This window comes from Homo sapiens, chromosome 4, assembly GCF_000001405.40.
Source record: "Homo sapiens chromosome 4, GRCh38.p14 Primary Assembly".
Classification (NCBI taxonomy): Eukaryota; Metazoa; Chordata; class Mammalia; order Primates; family Hominidae; genus Homo; species Homo sapiens.
Window position 1 is genome coordinate 80231963 of NC_000004.12, and position 25094 is coordinate 80257056.

The window sequence follows — 25094 nt, forward strand, 5'->3', positions numbered from 1 at the left end:
TATATTTTCATTTCAATTGTTATTCAAAACATTTAAAATTATATAATTATATCATCAATAATGCGGTTAATATCCTGTAGTTTTGTGACTCCTAATTTATCACCTAAGAAAGCTAAAACAGAATGAGCATATGAGTTTCCTTCTCCATGTTACTTGTGCACTTAACTTTTGAACTTTTTATTTCTATATTTTCATTCAGTCTCTCTAAAAAACATTTTTTTCTCTATTGTAGTGGAAAGAATATAATCTTTGCTGGAACCTGAACTGAGATTCAAAATCCTGCCACTTTACTAACAATGTGACTTCAGGAAATTTATTTAATCCGTAAGCTTCATTTTTCTTGTTCTCAAAATGACAATTATTACGTATACTTTATGAGCTGGTTGTGAGAAATTAGAAGAATAACATGAACAGTGTCCAGTACTCAGCAGGTGTTTAATACACAGTAGTGCTTTCTATCCTCCATTTACTTCTTCCTTAAACTTTTACTTGAGGATTTTAATTGTAGAACTGGTCCTGTGAAAAAGTGAAACAATTCATCTCCTCCAGCCCCAATTCTTTTCCCTTTCAGATATCAAGAGTCTTTTTCTCTAATAATCTCAAAATCTGTAAAGAGTTCTAAAATCTAGCCATTTTTATGTGCTTAATACAGATTTAGTTTCAGATTCCATTGAGCTTGCAGGGGACTTACAGGTAGATAATTTAGCCCATTTTACAGTGGAGGCAGTGAAGGGCTAGGAAATGTAAATAACTTTCCCAAATACACATGGTGACAGTGCTAGAACTTAATCACTCTTTTAAATATTAAGTCCACTGCTATTTGTATTACATCTCTTTTAGCATTTTGAGCTTCTTGGTAATTGTTGAATGATAAGCTTTGTGTTTTCTTAACAGAATTTGAGGTCCCTGTAAGTGAAAGGGTATTTCGGGTTACAGCTGAGAAATGGTGCAGACTCCTCAGACTGCTCTGGCTACGTAATTTTCAGGGCCCAGTGCAAAATAAAAGTGTGAGATCTCCTTTTCAAAAAAAAAAAAAGGAAAAAAGTACCATTAAAGATATCCAAATATAAGGGTTTTTCTTCTATTTCTGCTTCTCTTTCAACTTATACTGTTTTTCATTAGCATTTAATTTTGTTCTAAGTAGAAAATTTTTTAAATTTAAGATCATTAGAAATTTTACAGCATATCTTCATATTGTGCAATGCCAGTTTTAGATGTAAATATAAGAGCATTTAACCTGTATGCAGAATCACCAAAATTATACAATTCTATTTTGTATTTTGTATGTATTCTGTTGTTACCAGAACAGTAGAAATCTGCACAAAGCTAACATGTTTTTTCTTTCCTTTCTTGAAGGATACACATTCTACCAATACATTCTACTTTTGGCTTACTGATAAGTAAGGAAGGAAAGCAAAAGGAATTGGGGCCTGTCCTATCTTTCCCTTTTCTTCTGATCTTATTTTCAACATAACTGGTTGGCTAATACGAAAAAAGCAGCCCAACACCATTGCCTTCTTTCTGCATTCCAAACAAGTTCTAGTTGAAACTGAAAGGGTGGCATCCCAGGGACCTCAGCAAGTCCCCCCTACATCCCCACCCTACCGTTAGTCAATCTTAGATTTAACAAACTGACCTCATACTACCTTTCTCACTGAACTACTTACTACGCATTGTGAGTCCACTGGAATTCTGTGCTCATGGGGCATCACAAATGCTATATATAAATGTGGCAGCAAGGAATAGTGGTGGATACTCATATTGAGATATCTCCTGTGCACACTCCTCGGCTCCATTGTACCATTAGATTTCATTTCCAAAACATAAGTTATAAATAAATTTATTTAAAATTTCAAGACGGCAATGGAAGAGCTTTAAACCTAACATGAGGTCTTTCTGAGCCTAGGACCCGTGACACTGCACAGACAGCATGCTCATGAACTTGACCCTACTTCAAAGGTTCTTGAAATCAAAGAATCAGGCCAATACTTGGCTTGCCTATGCAGTGAGACAAACCCGTTCTGCTTTGTGTTACTTCTTCTCTTCTTCCCTTATTCTTTCAAGAAGCTTTTATCCAGAAACTCTTCCTTCACATCTGACACTAACTTTCTACTGCTAGTTTCCACTGCTTACTGACCTTTTATTTTATATTGCCGTGTTTTAATTTTACTTAATTTCTCTTTAGCATTATTATTCACCAGTCATATGAACTGTATGAAGCAGTCTATCACACTTTCCAATCTTTTCAAAAGTATTTATTAACATTGTACATTACAACAAAACTATTGCTTGTCTGTTTTGTATTATTCTTTCTGAAATATGTCCTACAAATACAAGTTATTTCTGCATAAGTTTTTAACCCAGAATAAATCTAATACACTTTCATGTTGGGTGGGTGATTGTCTCCTTATAAAAGTAACAGTAGTAAATGTTTTGCCTCTTGAAACTTTGATAAACATTTCTTTGCTTTCCATTTTATAGCGCTTTCACAGTGCTCACCAAACTTCCTGTTTTTTCCCTGAATATGCAGGAACTGAATTTTCTTTCTTCAGCTGTATTTTATCATTTAACATTCTTGTTTAGTTGAAGTATCAGTAATGAACAACTGCAATGACTCATTTCAGGAGAAATATGAATAATAATAACGTTTAAATTTCTTTAGTGCTTTATAGTTACCAAAACATTTCACATATATTTCAAAATTTGATCTTCATGGCAACCCTGGAACTGATCTACAAATATTTTTTAGTCTTAAAATTAATAAATAATACATTAAATAGCATATTAACATGTTCATTTCTTCCATCTTAAGGTTTAAACATTTATTAGAACTTCTTTGGAAATTATACCTTAGTTTCCCCTCTAAAAGCCTCTAACGGGGAATATCAAACCTTCATGGTAAAGAAATAAAATAGTCATTTTGGAGTCATTACAGCCAGTTGAGTTGGTAGCTGACTGCAGCTAGTCACAATCTATAATCACAACTAACTTTAAAATAAATGATTCTTTATTACAATATATTTTTAATTTGCCCTGTGTTCTATACTAGGTTAATGTAGAGCATAGGAAAAAAGGAGGCTGAGTAATTAGGTCCAGTTCTTTTGTAGAGGCCTCTGGTGCTAAGCAGACTTAGCATTTTGATGTTATAAAACACAAAACCAAAAATATCACAAAACCAAACCCAAGCCCCACTTTTTTTTTTTTTTTTTTTTTTTTTTTTTTGAGACAGGCTGGAGTGCAGTGGCATGATCGTGGCTCACTGCAGCTTTGACGTCCCGGGCTCAAGCAATCCTCCTGCCTCAGCCTTCCAAATAGCTGGGACCACAGGCACATACCACCATGTCCGACTAACTATTTTTTTTTTTTTATTTTTTGTAGAAACAGGGTCTCTCTATGTTGCCCAGGCTGGTCTCAAACTCCTGGACTCAAGCAATCATCCTGCCGCAGCATCCCAAAGTGCTGGAATTACACCTGTAATTCCAGATGTACAGTCAGCCCCAATTTTCTTGAAAATATTTTATATACTACCTTCCTTCAAAATTTAAATTACATATACTCATTCTTGAAATCAGAATTACTGTAAAATATTTTTTCTTACTACCGCAAAATCCAAGGAGAATTTGGAGAACAGTTCAAACTTAACTTCTAGTCAAGTGAATCAACATTCCCTGTTTACATAGTAGAATAGCTCACAGAATTCTAAACATAGTTGTATTCTGACTGTGTCACCTGTTGACCTTTCTTGGAAATTATTTTCATATAACATAACATATCTATAATTACATGATACATAATATATAAATATGTCCTTATACTTAAATAATTTGTTAGATCCTCAGCTATCTATTCTTAGGTAAATTTTAACAAAGATTCACTGCTTGCTGCCTTCTTTAAATTTTATTCTGATGACCAATTTCTATTTTAAATTCAGATTTATTTTCCTTCTGCTAACTTTCCATAACTTTAGCTGGGACACACCAATAGCTGGAATACTTTTTAAAACCCATCTTCCTCTCTCTGTGGTTTCATTTTCCTTCCTTTTCCTCTCTCAGGTGTTCAATTTCTCTACTCTCAGGTCCTTCCATACCCTCTCCCTCCCTGCTCTTTCCTTCCAGTTGGTATAGCTGACTGGGAGTCATCAGTTCCCAAAAAGAAGAGGGAGAAAGCACGTTCATACCCTGTACTTTTTGGCTAGTTTCCTGTTGTTGCTCCTTTTCTACTTCTCTCCACCCTGTCAACCCCACCTTTTTTCCACCTCCAAACCCCCTACCTTCCTGTCTGTGACTGTTAACTCCTTTTCCAGCACATTCTCTCTATTATTGCCCCCATTATTAATTTCTCATAACTGCTACTGGAATTTTTTAAATCATTATTGAGTTATTTTTCCATGTGGTACTCTTAATGTTACAGCTTAAGAATAAAGGCTAAAAGATACAATTATTGTTAAAAAGAAGAAACATCAGATATTAAACTCACTGAGTAAAGGTCACACTGACCATTAATACTGGGGCTTAGGTGGGAGACTGGCAACCTCAGCCCCAGGCAGTTCCAAAACTTTTATACTTCTTGAATATTAAGAGTCATGATGGTGGATTCTGGCTTTCTACTGCCAAAATGCACACTAGAAGGAAGTGTTCTGCTTTTGGTGTGACGCCAATAATGTGTAAGATAACTATGCATTGGCCGGGCGCAGTGGCTCACCCCTGAAATCCCAGCACTTTGGGAGGCCGAGGTGGGCAGACCATGAGGTCAGGAGCTTGAGACCAGCTTGGCTAACATAGTGAAAGCCTGTCTCTACCAAAAATATTAAAAAGTTAGCCGGGTGTGGTGGTGCACACCTGTAATCCCAGCTACTAGGGAGGCTGAGGCAGCAGAATCACTTGAACCCAGGAGGCAAAAGTTGCAGTGAGCCAAGATGGTGCCACTGAACTCCAGCCTGGATGACAGAACAAGACTCCGTCCCAAAAAACAAACAAACAAACAAACAAAAAACTATGCATTCATGGAAGAAACAATTCTTCTTCTGTTCTATCCAATATTTGTGGAAATTGTTAATGTCTTAAGAAGCATGTCTGTTGCAAGCCTAAAGATGCCTTGAGGATGTATATTCTTGCTTTAATTCACACAGAGATAAAGACATCTTATACTTTATTCTCCTGGCCTCCCATGAAAATTGTTCACAAGAAAAATTCACTAGCATGTCATTAAAAATGATTAATTCAAAAAGAAGAACTTGAAGGACATGTCTTCAAGTACCTGAAGTGTTATTAAATGGAGTAGCAATTAAATAAATAATTAGACTTATTTCCAGACTACAGTAATAGGACCAAAAGTAAAAGAATATTTTTACTGCTATAAGGAAAATGGGGGAGAATTTTGCCTAGTTGTACATGTTTCCCTATCTTTAGGTTATATCCTTTTTTCTATGGCTTAGCTACTCTAGGGGAAAGGAGTCTTTTCTCCGTTCTAGGGGAGATCCTATCATAAAGTCCTTCAGATCTGGCCTGATAGCTTAAATAGAACTTAAAGAAATTTATTAAACCTTCTATCACAGTAGTTTTTAACTAGGGGTAATTTTGTTCACAGAAGACATTTGGCAGTTTCTGGAAACATTTTTGGTAGTCACAATTTGGGGTGCAGTGCTACTAGGCAGAAGCCAGAGATGCTGCTAAACATCCTGCAAGGCACAGGATGGTACCCCACAACAAAAAAATTTTCATTTCTAAATGTCAACAGTGCTGAGGATGAGATACCCTGGTTTATCAAGACAATGTCCTGGTTAATTAATCCTGCTGCCTAATCCCATTTTGCATGTTAGAAACCAAATACAGTGATCTCTGTTTATCCATGGACGATATGTTCCAAGATCCCCAGTGGATGCCTGACACTGCAGATAATACTTAACCTTGTATATGCTACATTGTTTTTTCCTATACAAATATACCTATGATAAAGTTTAATTTATAAATTAAGCACATTAAGAGATTAACAACCACTGGTTGGCATATACTTGGCTTCTCTTTGACATATTTGAATTGCCAACATCACTACTCTCATGCTTTGGCGCCATTATTAAATAAAATAAGAGTTATTCAAACACAAGCACCAAGTGATTAAGGGTAGATAGCATGTACAGAGCGCATGCTGGACAAAATGATGATTCACTTTCCGGGCAGGATGGAGCAGGAAGGCATGGGATTCATCACACTGCTTGGAATGGCATACAATTGAAAACTTATGAATTACTTATTCTGGAATTTTGCATTTACTATTTTTGGACCAGGACTGACCATGAGTAACTGAAACTGGGGAAAGCAAAACCATGGACGAGGCGGGGGGACAGCTGTATTACTTCATTCTTTCTCTCGTCTTTTCTATAAATCCTTACCATTGCTTCCCATACTCAGGCAGTTGGATATTTTGGGCAAGCTTGAGGAACGGCTCACAGAAATAAATGAGAAAAGTGTATTTACAATTTTCCAAATTTGGTCCTTGTTAGAAATGTCTCACCATTAGAAATAGTGACAAATAGGTTGTTAATATGGCTGAATAAGAGCTTGAGCTATTAATTTAGATTCCTTTAGCCCTATATTTCCTCTTTCCATGATCTCCATCCAAGCAAGTGGCTGACTCTTCACTTTATTGAGTTAGAGAAACTATATGGTTGTGTAGAAACAAGAGCAGCATACAATATTTTTGGGATTTGTAGTTAAAACCCTAACACTTAGAAGAAGTTAGAGGGTTTGTGGATGAAGACAATGGGACAAGGGGATTCCCAGATATCAGCAGGGTACTTAAAGACTCAACAGCAGAAACTAAAAAAACAACACACAAAGTAACTTCCACCCACAAACTAAAAGAACAACCTCTGACATTGTAGGAGTGTTTGGTCAGGAGGCAAATATATGAAGAAAGAAATATCTTGGGGCTGTAAAACTCTGGTAGGTTTGTCAGAGAGGAAAAATACTTAGAGAACAGTGTCTGGCACATTCCTACTGCAGATACAGCACACACATAGCAGAGGTTTAACAATTGTTAAGGAATAGTTTAGGACAACAATAATCATTCCAGTGGCAATCAATATTAACAAATGGCTAATAATCGAGGTCCCCTAAATTACCTTAAGCTTGCCCCAAACCTGGAGGGAGGGATGGAAAACCAAGAGAGACTGATATTTGGTCAATCTGACATAATGAAGAATTAGAGAACAATGAACATTGAGTTTACATCTCTGCTTCTTCATTATGTTGGATTAGCAAAAATTATATTAATGAGTCACTCTTAGGTTTTCCATTCCTCCCTCCAGGTTTACTCGATTGTAAAATTTTAAAAATTACATTGCTCACACCTGTAGATTTGGAAATTCTTATTCCTTACAAGAGAGTTGTACTTAGTTTCCCACTAGTGAAAAGCGTTTAAGGAAAAAGCATATTTCCCCAACCATTCACAATTTCACCTGCACACAATCTGTTTAAAATTATATTTTTCAACCTGCGAAGCATCGTCTATTAGTGGCTTGTGAAATCAAATCAGTAACTTAAAACATTTTACAGAGAATAGTTCAGATGAAAAAAGAAAACAGAATATATCAAATGTATGACACATGCCTAACTTAAGTATTACTTGGTGAAAGTGTGTACTGGAAGCCACATACAATGTACTGCTTAAAGCAAACTGTTTTAAAGACACTGTTTCAGGAAACCATTAGGACTCATCCCATCATGCCCTACATTCCAATTTACTACATCATCATAAGAAGTCTCTCATCTCCACATAATTCTGAGCATTTTCTCATCTAACCCTTGTTTTCCCCTTCTTCCCTCTCATTTTCCACTGTGCCTTCCGGAACTCACTTCCTCATGAGAAAAATCCATTATATCTTCAATGGCGTTTAAAAATGCCCCTTTATCGTCTTGTCCTAACTTAATCCTTGCTCTGCCTCAATGATCATGCTTCCCCTACAGACCTCTCAAGTCACAGCTGTTTCTCTCATGCTCCTTATGCAATTTAGGCCAGAAGTGGGGTAAGTATTCTTCCAGACTACTGTCCCTCACTTCTTCCTAAAACCCCCAACTTCAGACCTCTTGCCATCAGATTTTACCACTTGCTACCTTCCTTCTTGGGGACAATACAGATGCTCAGATCTCCTTATTTCTTACAATTATTATTTCCTGTTTCTCTCTCTCCCTCATTATTTCTGTTCTTTCTCTTCATAATTATTTCCATATCCATATTGTATATCCTTCAGTATGATTGCCTCTCAGTTTTTTCAATCTGCTTTCCTCTGATGAGCTTGTCCTCCACCCACAACCATAGATACAATGCCTTAAGCATACTGACTGGTTTTTACTTTAAATTCATTACCATTACCTTTAGCTCTCTGGCAATCCAACTGTATCTCCCTAGACTATTCACCCTCCCACTCTCCTAGATGCTGCTCTTCTCCTCTCCAATCTCCAGTGCATTTTTTCCATTCTCATTCTCAAATGAAACAGAAACAATCAGAAGTAATTTCATATATTCCCACTACTCCATCTTCAAGGTTACCAGTATCCATGACCATTTCCCTGCTTTTCCTCCTGATATGATAGACAGACTCTCTGTACCTTTACCTAAGAGCAAGTCATACACACGTGTTTCTCAACCAGGAGTGATTTTTTCCCTCAAAGGGCAAACGTCTAGATACATTTTTGGTTGTTACAACTCAATGAGAGGGAGCAGGTGATTATGGCATTTAGTAGGTAGAGGGCAGAGATGCTGCTAAACATCCTACAATATACAGAAGAGCCCCCTCAACAAAGAATTGTCTGGTCGAGGGTCCAGGAAGTCAGTAGTGCCAAGGCAAAGAAACCCTGTACTGAAACCTGCCCCTCCCCAGCACCTCTCCCCTTCCTCCTTTACATCCCCAAGTTTTCTTCTTATCGAATCATTTCTACCTTCATACAATTGTACTGTTGATATTTCCTATTTTAAAAATATTTTTCTCATTGCCATATTTCCTTCTAGCTACCTCCTGCCTTTCTCTGATCCCCATAAACAACAAAATTCATGAATGAGTGAGAGAATTTTCTGCTCTAGAAATCACCAAATCTTTTCTTCCTGCTCTCTCTTGAGCTCAGAGAGTTCAACCAAACTTTCTCATCACTCACAATAATAGTATGTCATGTTGTCAAATTTAATGGTCAGTTCTTCTCATCTGACAAGTATTAACATTTAGCATGATTGATCACTTCCTGCTTCTTGAAATAATTTCTTCTCTTGGTTGCTGGCCACCTCTCTCAGTTTGTCTCTTACCTCACTGGCTGGGGATTTTCAGTGTCTTGCTTTCATTTTATTCATGGCTTAACTTTAAAATATTTTGATCTCTTTTCTAACTATACTAGTTTCCTGGGTGACCTCATCTAGTCTCATGGCTTTAAATTTCATCTATATGCTGATGGCTTCTGAATTTATATTTCTAGGATCAACTTCTCTCTAACTCCAGACTTTTATAATCAACACCTATTTAACATTGTCACGTGTTTACCTAATAGATAGCCAAAACAGAACTCCTAATTTTATCCCCCAGACCTATTCTTACAGCAATCTGTCCTTTCTAAGTTAATGGACCCATTCTGCAAAGTAGCTTAATTCAAAACACTTGGTGTCATTCCTATCTTCCTCTGTTTCTTTTGTACTGTACACTTTCTATCTATCAGCCACTCCTGCTGCTCTGTCTTCAACATGTATCCAATATCCAACCTTTCAATCCCCTCCAATGCAAATGCGTCAGTCAAAGCTGCATTCTCTTAGGACTGGATTATTTCAATAGTTTCCTAATAGTACTTCTGGCTTTCACCCTTGTGTCCTGTACAGTCTATCCTCTACCCAACTCCAGAGAGATCATTTTGAAAATTAATTCAGACCATGTAATTTTGCTCAGAACCCTTCATTGGCTTCCCTTATCTTTCAGAATAAAATTTGCAATCCTTGCCATTATCTATAAGATCACACATGATAATGATCACTGTTTCCTTTGACCTCTTCTTGTACCAGTCTTGTTCTCTCTCACTCTTTGCCAATCACATTGGCTTCCTTGTTCTTTCTGGACTACATCAAGCATGTTTTTTTTTTTTTTTTTTTTCCCAGAACATTTTTTCTCTCCATAGCTGTGCAACTTGCTTCCTCACTTTCCATTTTTCTGTTGAATGGCAATTTATTAAAAATGCCTCCCTTGACCACCAGTTGTTATTTAACAACACTTCCTCCTCCCACCTGATATCTCCATCCTGCTTACTATGAAAAATATTCTATTCTATTCTATTCTATTCTATTCTATTCTATTCTATTCTATTCTATTCTATTAAGACAGGGTCTTGCTATGTCACCCAGGCTGAGTTCAGGGACACGGTCATGGCTCACTGCAGCCTCAACCGTCTGGGTTCAAGCAACCCTCCCACTTCAGCCTCTCAAGTAGCTGAGACTACAGGCATGTGCCACCATGCCTGGCTATTTTTTTTTATTTTTTATAGAGACGGGGCCATGCTATGTTGCCCAGCTGGTCTTGAACTCCTGCATACAAGCAGTCCTCCTGCCTGGGCCTCACAAAGGGCTGGGATTACAGACGTGAGCCACTGTGCCAGGCCAAATTTTTTTTAAGTGGTTCATTTATCATTTGCCTCGCTCTATTGGAATTTAGTTCATAAAGGTCATGGTTGTTTTGTTGTTATTGTTATTTATTATCAAATCTCTAGCACCCAGAATCATACCTGGGTACTATTATTTTAGTAAACACTTTTAATACATTTAAAAAATTTTGTCATTACAAGTTGAAAACTTTTTTCATGATGATTTTAAAAACGTCACCTTTAAAATTATTATTGTCTCAGAAAACTTATCGTAAGGTACCGAAATTAAACTCTGCTTTGTGACTCAACCCTCCCCTGAGCAGGTCTGACACTTTTGGAATACTATCCTCCTTGAGGACTACCTTCTTGTGTGAGACAATTTGTCATGGCAAACATAATAAAATATTGATGGAATTCCATCATATTGAATTAAAATGTCTGCACATTGTACTGTTACATAGTGTCAGGGCAGAACCCAAACCCTGCATTGCAGGAGTCCTTAGTGACTTGCTATTTTTTAGAAGTTTAATGCAGCAATCAGGCATCAGTAAATATTTACTCAGTTGAATCATATGACAGAATTACTTTACAATCATTTGTAATTAAACATCTTGATATATGGTCTTAACATGGCTATAGAATTGGAGCTCTAACAACATGTTCAATCTCTGATTTCTAGGCTAAGAACTCTGGGTTCTTAGAGTATTTGTGGATGCCCAAGGGCTCCTTTTGGATTATTGTCCCCTGAGTGGAAAAAGAGCAAAGCATCAACAATAAATGAAAAATAAAATATCATTAAGGTTCATTTCTCTTTGTTTTCCACTCTCCATGGTGGCTGCAGTGTATCACCTGCCTTCTGGCATATAAGCTCTGGGTGACTCTCATGTCTGCTGGAGTACTGCAGGCTTCCCTGTCATCATGGTATGATCCTCCCAAGCCAATTTGGGGCTGCAGGCCACCACTTCCACTCTCATCACGTTCCCTGTTTGTGCTTGTTTGCGGGGTACCTATCATCCTGCTATGACAGTCTGTCCTGTCCTGCTTCTTTATCCCCATGTCACCGTCTCTGCAATTTCTCTGCTATCACTAGTTCCTGAACTCTGGTTACTGACAGCTTGCCAACAGCACACTCTGTGCCCTTGTCATCTCTAGCCCATCACACCTGCTGCTGCCACCTGCTCCGGTACCTTGCCAACATCTCCCCTACTGCCTTCAATGCCGGCCATGCGCCTTCAGGAGGAGAAAGGACTTTTTCTAATCAGTGGCTGCTGCTGGACAGTGACACACTAAACAGTGACATCTGGGAAATATCAAGTCATCTGTCCTTGAGATGGTGTATACTCTTATTGTTGCCAAGATATTTTACCATCAAATTCTGGGGTCTGTGGTGTTTACTGTTCTAATACCTTCTTTTCCTGGCTAAGACCTGCAGCCTCTATTAAAATAAATTCTAACCTTTAGTTTAAACTATTCCATTGTCTTGTTTTCAAAGTCTTCTCCTTTGATTGGCATACCAAAATTTAGTTATGGGGGAGGGAGGGAGGAATATGTGGTGGTTAAAAGTTTAGTTCCAGCATCACTGATATTATCTAAGATAATAGAAATATATCAAAACAAAGAGCTCTCTATTATGTTTACAGGTATGCCTGAGTTAAGCATTTACATGTTAACATGAATATTAAGTTGGTAAATAATCTGTAAAAGATAACTAATTAGGATATTGGTAACTGTATTACACACTTCTAGGTAAATAATGTGTCCCATAATATTCTATTTTTCCAAAGTGCGAAGGAGAAGATGGAGATGTGTGTGTGAAAGAGAGAGAGAGAAAATGGGAGAATATTTTGGGATTAATGTAAATTTTCTATTTATATCAATATAAATTAAAACAAAATTGTTTTTAAAATGTATATCTATAAAATAACAGATTAGTGGAGATCCATAGATAAATGGAAATCAAAATATATTAATGTTCTATAGAAACAATAAATTATAGTGTAAGTATGAAGATGATTAATAGAAAGGTTATTTCCAATGCACAGCCTCCAAAATAGTAAAATAACTTATTAATAAGGCAGTCTATGTCATTAATGAGTAGCTCTAATGCTAGAAAAATTATACTAAGCCAAAAGCTACTTTCCTTTACACTAGTTCTACGTTCTGAGTGACACAAAATAGTCTAATCTCATTTGCAAAGCTCGTTAAATAATTGAAGACACTTTTATGAAATTATAAAATCTAGAAGAGCCATGTTGCTTTAGAAGTGAGGAGTCAAGAGTTTCATGCATTGCTCAAGGGGTTTGTGGAGAGCTTTTTGAGGAGGATTCTGGCAATACATATTGTAATATAAAATATACATAAACTTTGACCCATCTATCCCAGTTTTAGGAATCTATGCCACAGAAATACAATCATTGGTACAATTGAATGTACCAATGTATATTAATGCATTGTAAACAAATGGTAAAAAGTTATTGGAAACAACTTGAATAATTATAAAATGTATATATATTTATTCTATGTAACTCTATTGAACAGAAGGCAAGTATTTAAGAAAGAGAACTATATCCATATGTATTGATCCAGTTTGCCCTTGGTATATTTTTATGTGAGGAATGCATAACTATGTGTATTACAAAATGCAATTTCTTAAAACTAACAATCCAAATATATATTTGGGGATAGCACAGAAAAGACATGAAAGAGGATAGTACACACTGCTAACTGTTCATGTTTTTAAAAATATACATCTCTTTTGTTTGAATAAGTTTGCATTTCTTTTAAAATTAAATTATCTAATACTTAAAAATGTAAATCATTTTAAAAAAGCTCAATCTGTGCTGTTTCATAACTACATGAAAATATATTTGCTTCTAAAATTTCTTGTGGTTTGAAAATTGTATGCTCATTTTCTAGTCACAGACAAACTTATACCCAAGAAACCCTTGGTTTTCATACATTAATCACTAAGGATCTTGTTAATAGTTATTCAACTTTAGTAGTTATTCAGCTTTAATAAAGTTATGGCAATAAGGCCTCTGTTATTTTAGAAGTACACACTTTTATATTTGGATCGAAAGTGAGAATATATCTAAGTAAATGTCAAAAAGTTATATCTACAGGAAAAGGTATGGTCCCCCCAAATATTTTATTTTCTAGGCTAAACATCTTTCAAACAAAGAAAACATTCTCAGATCCTTTACAGCATGTTGATTGTCATTCTCTGGTTCCAGTTTAAGATATGTTATTCTGCTTTGGAGACATTTATCTATATCTTTCTTAAAGCATCCCAATATTGCAACTGATTTTTAGAAGACTTATCTCAATGGAGATTTACACTGATAGTATAGCAAATGTGTGTTGTATTGTAATTTTGAATGTTTCAACACAGCTTTGTTGAGTCCTCTATTATCTATTTTGTGTTTGAGCAACTTGTGTTTTTTAGCCTAAATGCAGGACTTTACCATTATCCATTTTCAATTTGATGATGTACACTATGTTAAAATGAGAAAGGAACTATATTGTACATACAGTATGGTTACCACTACATGAAAAATATACCTACCTGTTAAAATAAATCATGCTCACAGTGGTGCTATTCATAATAGCAAAGAGGTAGAAGCAATACAAATGTCCATCAATGGGTGAGTAGATACACAAAATGAACATACAGTAGAATATTACTGGACTTCAAATAGAAAGGAAATCTGTCATATGCCACAGCATGGATAAACCTTGAGGACATTATGCTAAATGCAATAAGCTACTCACAAAAAGACAAATACGATTCTACTCGTGTACGAGATCTAAAATAGTCAAATTCACAAAAAACGGAAAGTAGCATGGTGGTTACCAGAAACTGAGGAAAGGGGAGAATAGGAGTTGTGCTAAACTCCTATTTAGGGATAAAATTTAGGTATAAATTTTCAGTTTGGCAAGATCAAAAGGCTCTGGATATCCATTTCACAACACTCTGAATGTACTTAACACTACTGAGCTATACACTTGAAAGTAGGTAATATGAGAAATTTTATGTTAACTGTTATTTACTACTATTTAAAAAGCAGAAACAGCAAAACGTATTGATATAGATGTGAGGGATTGAGGGATGTGGATGTACACAATAACTCAAAGCATTCTGCCTTGCACAACTTGGTAATGGTGATTGCATTAATAGATAGGTGAGTCCGGGCATGGTGGCTCACGTCTGTAATCCCTGTACTTTGGGAGGCTGAGGTGAGAAGATCATTTGAGGCCAGGAGTTTGAGACCAGCTTGGCCAACATGGTGAAACCATGTCTAAAATACAAAAATTAGCCGGGTGTGGTGGCACGCCCCTGTAATCCCAGCTACTCGGGAGGCTGAGGCGGGAGAATCGCTTAAACCCAGGAGGCAGAAGTTGCAGTGAGCTGAGATCGCACCACTGCACTCTAGCCTGAGTGACAGAGTACAAAACTCCATCTCAATAACAGCAACAACAAACACACAGAAAACAAAATGTGAATATATATGGGGAGGAGCAATCTGAAGTAAAGATTATAATAGACACTGTGGTGCTTTGCACCATCTCTTCTTTGCCCAAGTGATTTCAGCACTGCTCTGGTAAGCAGTTCCATGCACATTGCTAGGGTCCCATCTTAATGAGAAGATGTGCATTGTTGCTTTCCTACTTCAGGGCTTTCTCCTAAGGCACACGTATTCCAAACCAACACACAGATGCAGCCTGGAAGTGGGAGGAAAAGGAATCAATGGATCATTGCTCCTACTTCCCCATCCTACTCAGATACTGTTTTCAGGCAGTTTCTACAGGGAGCCCAATATGTCCCAGTGGATCTGAGCCCCAGTTGCTGTTGCTGTTAACCAGTTTAATAATGTACCCCACTCGTGCCTCTTTTGTCTTTTTTTTTTTCCATTTCTGCTTTCATTCTCTGAAAGCTCTTTTTTTTGTCCTGATTCTTAGAGTAATCTTCCAAATAAAATATATATTAATATACCCAATCTTTGTCTCAGGTTTTCATCAAAACTACAGACAGTTTTCAAAAGAAGACATACATGCGGCCAACAATCATATGAAGAAAAAGCTCAATGTCACTTCTCATTAGAGAATGCAAATCAAAACCACAATGAGATACCATCTCACAGCAGTCAGAATGGCTATTACTAAAAAGTCAAAAAATAACAGATGCTGGCAAAGTTGTGGAGAAAAAGGAATGCTTATACACTGTTGGTGGGAGTGTAAATTAGTTCAACTATTGTGAAAGACAGTATGGCAATTCCTCAAAAACCCAAAGACAGAACTACCATTCAGTTGAGCAATCCTATTACTGGATATATACCCAAAGGGATATAAATAATTATATTATAAAGACACACGCACATATTTATTTGTTCATTGCAGCACTATACACAATAGTAAAGACAGGATTGCCAACCCAAATGCCCATCAATGATAGACTGGACAAAGAAAATGTGGTACATATATACCATAGAACCCTATGCAGCCATGAAAAAGAATGAGGTCAAGACCTTTGCAGGGACATGGATGAAGCTGGAGGCCATTATGCTAAGAAAACTAATGCAGGAACAGAAAGCTAAATACCCCATGTTCTCACTTATGAGTGGGAGCTAAATGATGAGAACACATGGACGCATAGAGGGAAACAACACACACTGGGGCCTATTGGAGAGTGGAGGGTGGGAGGAAGGAGAGGATTAGGAAAAATAACTATTGGGTACTAGGCTGAATACTTGGGTGATGAAATAATCTGTACAACAAACTCCCGTGACATAAACCTATGTAACAAACCTGCACATATATCCCTGAATTTAAAATAAAAGTTAAAAAAAGGAAAATATATGGAATATTTAGGACATGCAAAGTTTTAGGAATCTTTGGGAAATTTAGTTGAAGATGTTTATTAGAAAGTTAGAAATTGGCTGGGCATGGTGGCGCATGCCTGAAATCCCAGCACTTTGGGAGGCCAAGGCAGGAGAATCTCTTGAGCCCAGGAGTTCTAGACCAGCCCCAACAACATAATGAGAACCTGTTTCTACGTATTAAAAAAATTAATTAGCTGGTGTGGTGTCTCACATTTATAGTTCCAGCTACTTGAGAGGCTGAGGCAGGAGGATAACTTGAGCCCAGGAGTTCAAGGCCTGCAGGACCTACAGACAAGCTACTACACTCCAGCCTGGGTGGCAGAGCAAGACCCTGTCTCAAAAAATAAAAAAATAAATTAAAAAAAGAAAGTTAGAAATTAATTAGTGTCACCTCAAAAGTAGCTGTCTTTTCCATTTCTTGATCCATTCTGCTCTTCATCTTCCAGAAACTGCTTTCTGCCACTCATTTACGTTTGTCATTGTTTCTGTGCTTTTTCTCCTATTTTACTAGTTTTTTAAAAAAGTCAGAGATCTTAAGAAAGTTCACTGAATAGAAAGTTTGTCTAAAATACCTAAACTTTCTCTTCCTCAAATGGATCATTTGTGACTATATAAAGCTCTAGCTTTTTTTTCAGCGACTCTTCTGTCCTTCATGAGTTTCTGGCCAGAGGGCCATATCTAATTTGCTTCTCAATATAATTGCTCTGAATAATGGTATGTTCTCTACCTTCTCTGCAACTTTATTTCATCAAATAAAAAAAAACAGTATCCTTTAAATAGAATGTGAAAAAACTTAAAGATATTTTGGCTCAGCCTGGTCTTGTCAGTCTAAGAGAGATTTACTCTTGTAACAAAGAGGTAGGTTTTCTTTTCTTTTTTTTTTTTTCTAAATACCTCTAGGAACCCATTCTGTCCATGTGTCATATCTTATTTGATGCACGATGTCAGAAATGTGGTTGAAATCTGGAAAAAATCCTGGATCTTTGGCACTTTTTCAAAGGCTAAAAGAAATCTTTGCAGAACTGAAAGCTGTCATTTGTGTCCAGGGAGGAGTAAAATTGTTCTGCTTAAATCCAAATTGTTGTTTCAAAGAGAACAAAAATGAAAAGTTTGGAAGATAAAATGATGACTAATCCACTCTTGTAAGTTAGAGTACTCTTATTCTTTTTGATTTAGTAGATGCTGTGATCATGTTTCTTTATACTAATCCTCCTGCAAGCATAATGATCCCCATCTCCTGGGATATCATTTTCCCCCTATGCTTTGTTTCTCCCTGTTTTATACCTACCTCTATTGTATTTTTCAGAAATATTTTTTTCTGTGAATTGTATCTTCATCATAAAGTTTAGAGGACTTATTAATTTCACTTAAGTTTAAAGAGAATCATTAGAAATTGGACAGTTAAAAGATATTAATTCAAGAATTTTCTTTTTTCTTTTTTTTTTTTTAGACAGGGTCTGACTCTTGCTCAGGCTGGAGTGCAATGGCGTGATCTCAGCTCACTGCAACCTCTGCCTCTCAGGTTCAAGCAATCCTCCCACCTCAGCCTCCCAAGTAGCTGGGATTACAAGCTTGCACCACCGCACTCGGCTAATTTTTGTATTTTTAGTAGAGACAGGGTTTTGCCATGTTGGCCAGGCTGGTCTCAAACTCCTGACCTCAAGTGATCCATCTGCATTGGCTTCCCAAAGTGCTGGGACTACAGGCACCATGCTTTGCCTAATTAAAGAATTTTCATAATTTTAAATAAAGAATTTAATTTTTTATTAAATTCTGTAGAAGAAACTAGAATAATCTGATGTTGAGGTTGAAAAATATCAGAAATATCTTCATTATTATCCTAAGTTTATATATAAGAAAATGAAGGTTCATGCAATTTAAATAATATGTCCAAAGCCATATATGAATAATCAGCATTACTAGAACTAAAACACACTCTTTCTGTCATTTAATATTGTTTAATTTAATTGAATCAATTTAATATGATCAGTAAACCCTGAGATTAAGAGGAGGCACAAGTGACATTTTCTTGCTGATCCTGTTTATGTTATGACTTTTTTTTTTTCTTTTTTTAAAGATGGACTCTCACTCTGTTGCCCAGGCTGGAGTGCAATGGCGCTATTTTGGTTCACTGCAACCTCCGCCGCCTGGTTCAAGTGATTTTTGTGCCTCAGCCTCCTGAGTAGCTGGGATCACAGGTGTGTGCCACCACACCCGGCTAATTTTTGTATTTTCAGTAGAGACAGGGTTTTACCACGTTGACCAGGCTGGTCTCAAACTCCTGGCCTCATGTGATCTGCCTGCATAGGCCTCCCAAAGCACAGGGATTACAGGCGTGAATCACCGTGCCTGGCCTCTATCTAGTTTTTAAAAGGTTTTAACTGAGTGTGGTAGCTCATGCCTGTAATCCCAGCACTTTGGGAGTCTGAGGTGGGAGAATCCCTCGAGTTCAGGAGTTTGAGACCAGCCTGGACAACAGGTGAAAACCCATTTCTACAAAAAATACAAAAATTTGCTGGGCATGGTGGTGGGAGCTGGTAGTCCCTGCTACTCTAAAGGCTGAGGTGGGAGGATAGCTTGAGCCCAGCAGGTGAAGGTTGCAGGGCGCCATGATGGCTCCACTGCACTCCAGACTGGGCAACAGAGGGAAACTTTGTCTCAATAACAATAATAATAATAATAACTTTTACATATTTTGCATTTTATAGATGAGATTGACACATGGAGAGGGTAACTTGCCCAACCATGTGGTTAATCAATGGCAGAGCCAGAACTAGCACTGACTTATATGTGCATTTGCTTATTCATGCAATAAATATTTTGAGTGCATTATCTGTTGCAGGCATTATGCTAGGTAATGGGGATTCAATTAAATAATAAACAAAATAGAGTCTCCAATGGCATAAAGTTCATAGTAGGCCATGACTGGGCTGCTACATATCAATGATGATGGAAACAAGAGAATTCAAGAGCGTTTCATCGTGGAGTAGCAAGAATTCCTAGCTGATAGAACCTTCGGTGCTGGTGTGGCCTTTTCCCCCTAAAAAGCATAGACGGTGGTAGTGTTATGTTTTTGTTTTTTCAGTTTTTTATTTTTATTTTTTGGCTCCTCTTACCCCATTAGTACTTTAAAGGACTGACTAAATCAACATACTTTGCACACACCAACCAATATGAAGAACTTAGGAAGAAATAAGCAGTCACATACAGTCCTTCATAAATTCATGTGATGCATGCCCTTTACTTATTTGCAGGTTCTATGGTAAAGCAAAATGAAAGAAACCTTTGCTATTGTCTGAGTTGCCTCTTTTGCCAGTTTTCGAACCCAGGCCAAATTTTGTGGGCCAGCCTAGCTTAGAGCATATTGTTCAGTAAAAACTACTAAAAAGTTCAGTAGACTGTAGAATCTAACTCTAGACGGAGTGAGACTAGAGGCAGATGTTGTGTCATTTGTTAGTTGGGCAATAAGTTCATACAAAGAAGGTTCCACATTTAACTTCATTTACATACTTTATAAATCACACTGTTGATTTGCAGTTATGCACTCTGACTCTTACTTCTCACAGCTTTTATCTAATTACCAGAGAAGTGGGTGGGTGGTTAATTTAAAATTTAATGACAAGAATTAGGCTTCTTTTAACCTAGTACCTTAAAAGAATTGTTAAAACAAATGATGTTCTTTAGAGAGAATAGAGGACCAATCAACATTCAACTCTTTTTTTTAGCTGAGTCAGTGTGGGAGACAGACATTAGACAAATAGTCCAATAAAAGCTATAAGTTTATATATATATTATATATATATATATATATAAATGTATATAGATAAAATTGTGATAATCAAGGATACTTTAAAAAGAAGAGAATACTTAGAAACACATCATGGAAGAACTTAGGTGTAGATTCGTCTCGATTTGGGGTAGGGGATGAGTCAGGGAAGGCTCTCGTGAGAAAATGGCTTTTAAGCTCAGATATTAGAAAAGTAAATAAAAGGGAAGAAATTAATCAAAAAAGTTGTGAGAAGTGAATGCTTCATTGCAGAAGACAGAAGTACATCTTGGAAGACAGAACTTCTGATATTTTTCCCCATTCTTCATGTTTTCCATTTGAAGGACTGGGCCAGGAACACTTTATCATTCAAATTATGTTACATATTTCTTAGTGCCAATTGAAACCAAATTAAGATCTTGATTGTGGTGACAGCTACATGACTAAGCATTTGTCCCAACTCAGATCCACATGCCAAAAAGAATGACTTTTACTATATATAAATTTCAAATAGAAATAAAACCAAAATAAAAGAAAATACAAATTAAGTTTACACCATTGACTACTGTTGTCCAGTTGCTCTTTCACCTTCATACTAAAAAGCAACAAGTAAAATATGAGTGTGCACAGGATTATGTGTGTTTCATCAAAACTCTAATCTCTCCCTTGCTATTAAAATGTTTGCTCTTGTCTGATTTTTTCCATTTCAAACACAAGAGGGACTCTTTAATATAGCTTTAATATGTAGACAGGCTAGGAAATCCCCAAAAGAAAAATGTGTTTTGTAACATACTGATTTGACAAATGGAGTGTCATTCTAAGGCTTCATTCTGGCACTACCTGACAGGCACCTTTGTTATCTAGAAGAAATATGGCTACACTTGCTGGTAGAACACATAATGCAGGTACCAGAAAGTCATCACTCCAGTAATGACAAGACACCAGAGATCATTATTTCCTAGCCTGAAAACCTTGTGTACCATTGTTAAAATGGAGGCCTGTCATTTTACTGTATGTCATCTGATGACATTATCTCTGATATTTATGACAAAGGAAGCACCTTGTGACTTTTACCACTCAAATTAAATAGCATTTTTTAATCTTTCACTGGATTGAAGAAATCTGACTTAGGAAAGGAAAGCCCATTTAGATACATTCGTTGACTTGCGTTGAAATGTGAATTCCTCTCTCCTCCAAAAAGATATCCTCCAGAATCTCCAAGGGGGAGAAAGAGGGATTCTGTTTTGATAGTTAATGGTCGTGAGGCTTACAAGTTCCCAGAAACTGACAATACTGCTTTGTTTATAGGCATTAGCACCTTAATTTTCACAGCAATAATTGAAACCGTACTCTCTGAGGCAGAGGTTATTGGTGTTTCAATTTTGCAAAAGAGGAAATTAAGGTCCAGAGAGGTCAAGAAACTTGCTCCAGGTGGCAGAGCCAGGAAGTGTTCTGAGCGTTGTGCATGTCACGGAGGCTCGCATGCTTTATCTTCTAGGGTCAGATGTGCTGCTGGAGAGGGATAATGCTGCATAGCTCACCCAAGCAGCTGCCAGTGCTGATGCTTAGATGTGTGCTGATTTCTTCCTGTCAGATGCTTGAATCTTGTGTCAATTCATATTAGGACCTTAGTATTTCCTGCTTCTCAGCATTAACATTTCCTGTAATAAGCTTCTTGTGATTCCCTTTAAGGACCTCCAACCGAAGAGTCCCCCAGAGTTTTGCTTAGTTAACAATCCTGCTTTCAGTGGCAGTATATTAACTATGAAACAATTGCAAAGGAATAGTATAAGAGTTTCCCTCTGCCTTATTAATAAATAAAAAGGTAATACAAATCTTTTTTCTTTTCTTTTTTTTTTTTTTTTGAGAAAGGGTGTTGCTTTGTTGCCTAGGCTGGAGTAGGTGCAGTCACAGCTTACTGCAGCCTTGAACCCTTGGGCTCAAATGATCCTCCCACCTCAGCTTCCTGGGTAGCTGAGACTGCAGGCTCAGGCCACCAGGCCCAGATAATTAAAAAAAAAAAAAAAAAAAAAACTTTGGTAGAGATAGGGGGTCTCACTATGTTGCCCAGTCTGGTCTCTAACTCCTGGGTTCACATGACCCTCTTGCCTCTGCCTCTGAAAGTGCTAGGATTACAGGCATGAGACACCACATCCAGCCACAAATTCTTAATAGCAATTTCAAATGTTAATAACAAACCCATGGTGATCTTTCACATTGATATAGACTCTTTTTATTTTTTTGAGACAGAGTCTCACTCTGTTGCCCAGGCTGGAGTGCAGTGGCGTGATCTCGGCTCACTGTAACCTCTGCAGTAGCTGGGATTACAGGTATGTGCCACCACGCCCGGCTAATTTTTGTATTTTTAGTAGAGACAGGGTTTTGCCATGTTGGCCAGGCTGGTCTCGAACTCCTGACCTCAGGTGATCCACCTGCCTTGGCCTCCCAAAGTGCTGTGATTATAGGCATAAGCCACTGTGCCCGGCCTGATAAAGACTCTTTATGATTCTTCTGTTTCTTAAAACATGTAATCTTTTTAATTTTTAATCTTAGCCATGCTCAAAACTTTTACTAATATGACTTGCTATAGTAAACATACAGTACTGTTGCTTATCTTTCTCCAACAAATCAAAGTACATAGTAAGTAAAGAGGCCTGAAAGTACTTTTTAAAACTTTAAAAAGTAATCATATATGAGGAAAACAAAGTTGAGAAGGTTGTATCTTGGTTTTACTAATGGAGAAACTGAGGTGAAAATGGGTTGAAGTTTGTTGCAGCTTAGCCACTGCAAAGTTTAACTCAATCAGGGTGAAGTTATTTTAAGACACATAGCTTTAACTACCATGGAATGAGGGTATCTGCTATAAAGGTATTCTGATATGGAAACCTGAAGTGAACTCCCTTTCTTTTAGAGAGTGGACAGGTTATCATTATGGATCAGAGCCAAAAGAGATGACACGTTGGTGACATTTGTTACCTTTATATAGTTCTGGCAACAACAACAAAAATACTACTATTTGAAGAAGATGGTTGAAAATGCAGATGGACTTCTTTAATTATCTTCCTTTCCTTTAGTGTTGTCCTTCAAAATAAGGTAGATAAATTTCATTCATTCTATAATCCACAAATATTCACTGTAACTGTCTTTCAGCTGCTGAAATACCAACAGAGAATCATATCAACCTTGTAAAAAGCTATTGGACCAAGCTCTTCTGCCACGAAAAACAAAGAAGATGATTAATTTTATTTGCTTTACTGTTTGCATTTCCCTAAGACACAATGAACTGATTAAAATACTTTTGTACTCATTCATTAGGCTTTTTTGTATATTAAGGTGCATTATTTTGACATACTTACCACATAATTATATTTGTGTAATGATTTCACATTCATAGTCATGCGTGTGTTATTTTCTTCTCACAACAAAGCATACCAGAGGAAAAGTTATAACTCCCATTTTTACAGAGAACAAAAATAAGGCTTTGGAGTTTGACCATGGCTATGCAGCTACTCTGAGTGTGTGTGTATGTTTATATGTGGGAGTGGGCTATAGAATTAGACTTCATGTATATTGGTTTCTACTAGCACTTTCTATATTCCCCGTGCTATCTTTACAAAATGAACTAAGTTTTGAAGCACCACAAGCTTCTACTCAGCCCTGCTGGCATTTTCAGGACATCTGGATGACAAGGTTTTCTTTGTTTTGCTTTGAATTGTGGGTACCGCAAAGAACCAGTAGCATTTCTGGCACACGTTCCAATTTTCTGATTCAAAATCTCTCTGTCTATTTGATGTTGCTACTACGAAATTCATATAGAAAAAGACGTTAAAAGGTTAAGTGGTTTTGGTGTGTGTAAGAACAAGGGTGAACACCCTACTGCTTCTCCTTTTTTTCCTGGATTCCTCTCACATTTACCTACTTCATTTATGGGGTAGAGAGGGATGGGTGGAGTTGTAAAAGAAACATAATAAAAGCAGAGGGAAATAAGAGCAGCACCTCTGAGGAAATTTCCTGCATTCAAAAATTATAGGCTGGAATAAAATGTCTGGATTAGAATTTTGTTTCTCCTCATTCTACTCTGCCTGAAGCCACATGGAGTAAAGCTGAGGTTCCTGAGAAGTGAAAGTTCTTGACAATGAAGCCGAAATAATGTATCTCAAGCTGGAGAGCAGACCCTCAATCTTCAAATGTATTATTTATTCAAAGAATAATTATTGGGTACCAACAATATATCAAGTATCATTCTCGGTGTTTGGTAAATACTTGTGAACAAAAGAAAGATTTTTACCCTCTGAAGCTTACATGCTAGCAGGGAGAAACAGACAATAAGCAATAAATGTAATACGGAAGAATGTTCCCTTGTGGGTTAGAAGGTGATGAGTGCAGCAAAACAAAGTTATAAAAGCATTACTCCTAGAGCTAGACTGTCCGAATTCAAACCTTAGCCCCACCACTTCCCAACTGTGTGACTTGGGTAAGTTATTTACCCTCTCTGTGCCTCATTTTCTTATGACCTATAAAATAGACAAGGCAATAGTGCTGGAATATCTGGCTTATAGTAAGAACTCTGTAACTGCTTATTCAAAAATAATTACTGTGGAAAAATTTAAAAGATAAGCAGTATGGATGTGAGTGACTCTATAGAGGGTGTAGGTATCATTTGAGGGGAAAATACGTGAGCAAAGACTTAAGGAGGAGAAGGAGTTAGCCAGACAAATATATTGGGGATGAGCAGTCCCAACAGAGGACATGGCCCTTGTGAATGTGGGAAGATGAGAGTCTAGCTGCTGAGTTGGAAGAATGCAAGGAAGCAAGCATGGTTTGAAAGGAGTGAGCCAGGGG

At 37.1% G+C, this 25094-nt stretch overlaps 1 long non-coding RNA gene across 1 annotated transcript; it reads left to right on the forward strand.

Annotated features, from left to right (window-relative positions):
- Positions 1–244: 244 nt before the first annotated feature.
- LOC124900725 (uncharacterized) lies at positions 245–23559 on the forward strand. The gene is made up of 2 exons (XR_007058161.1): positions 245–324; positions 23403–23559. It is a non-coding gene; the product is annotated as an uncharacterized LOC124900725 (long non-coding RNA).
- Positions 23560–25094: the final 1535 nt, after the last annotated feature.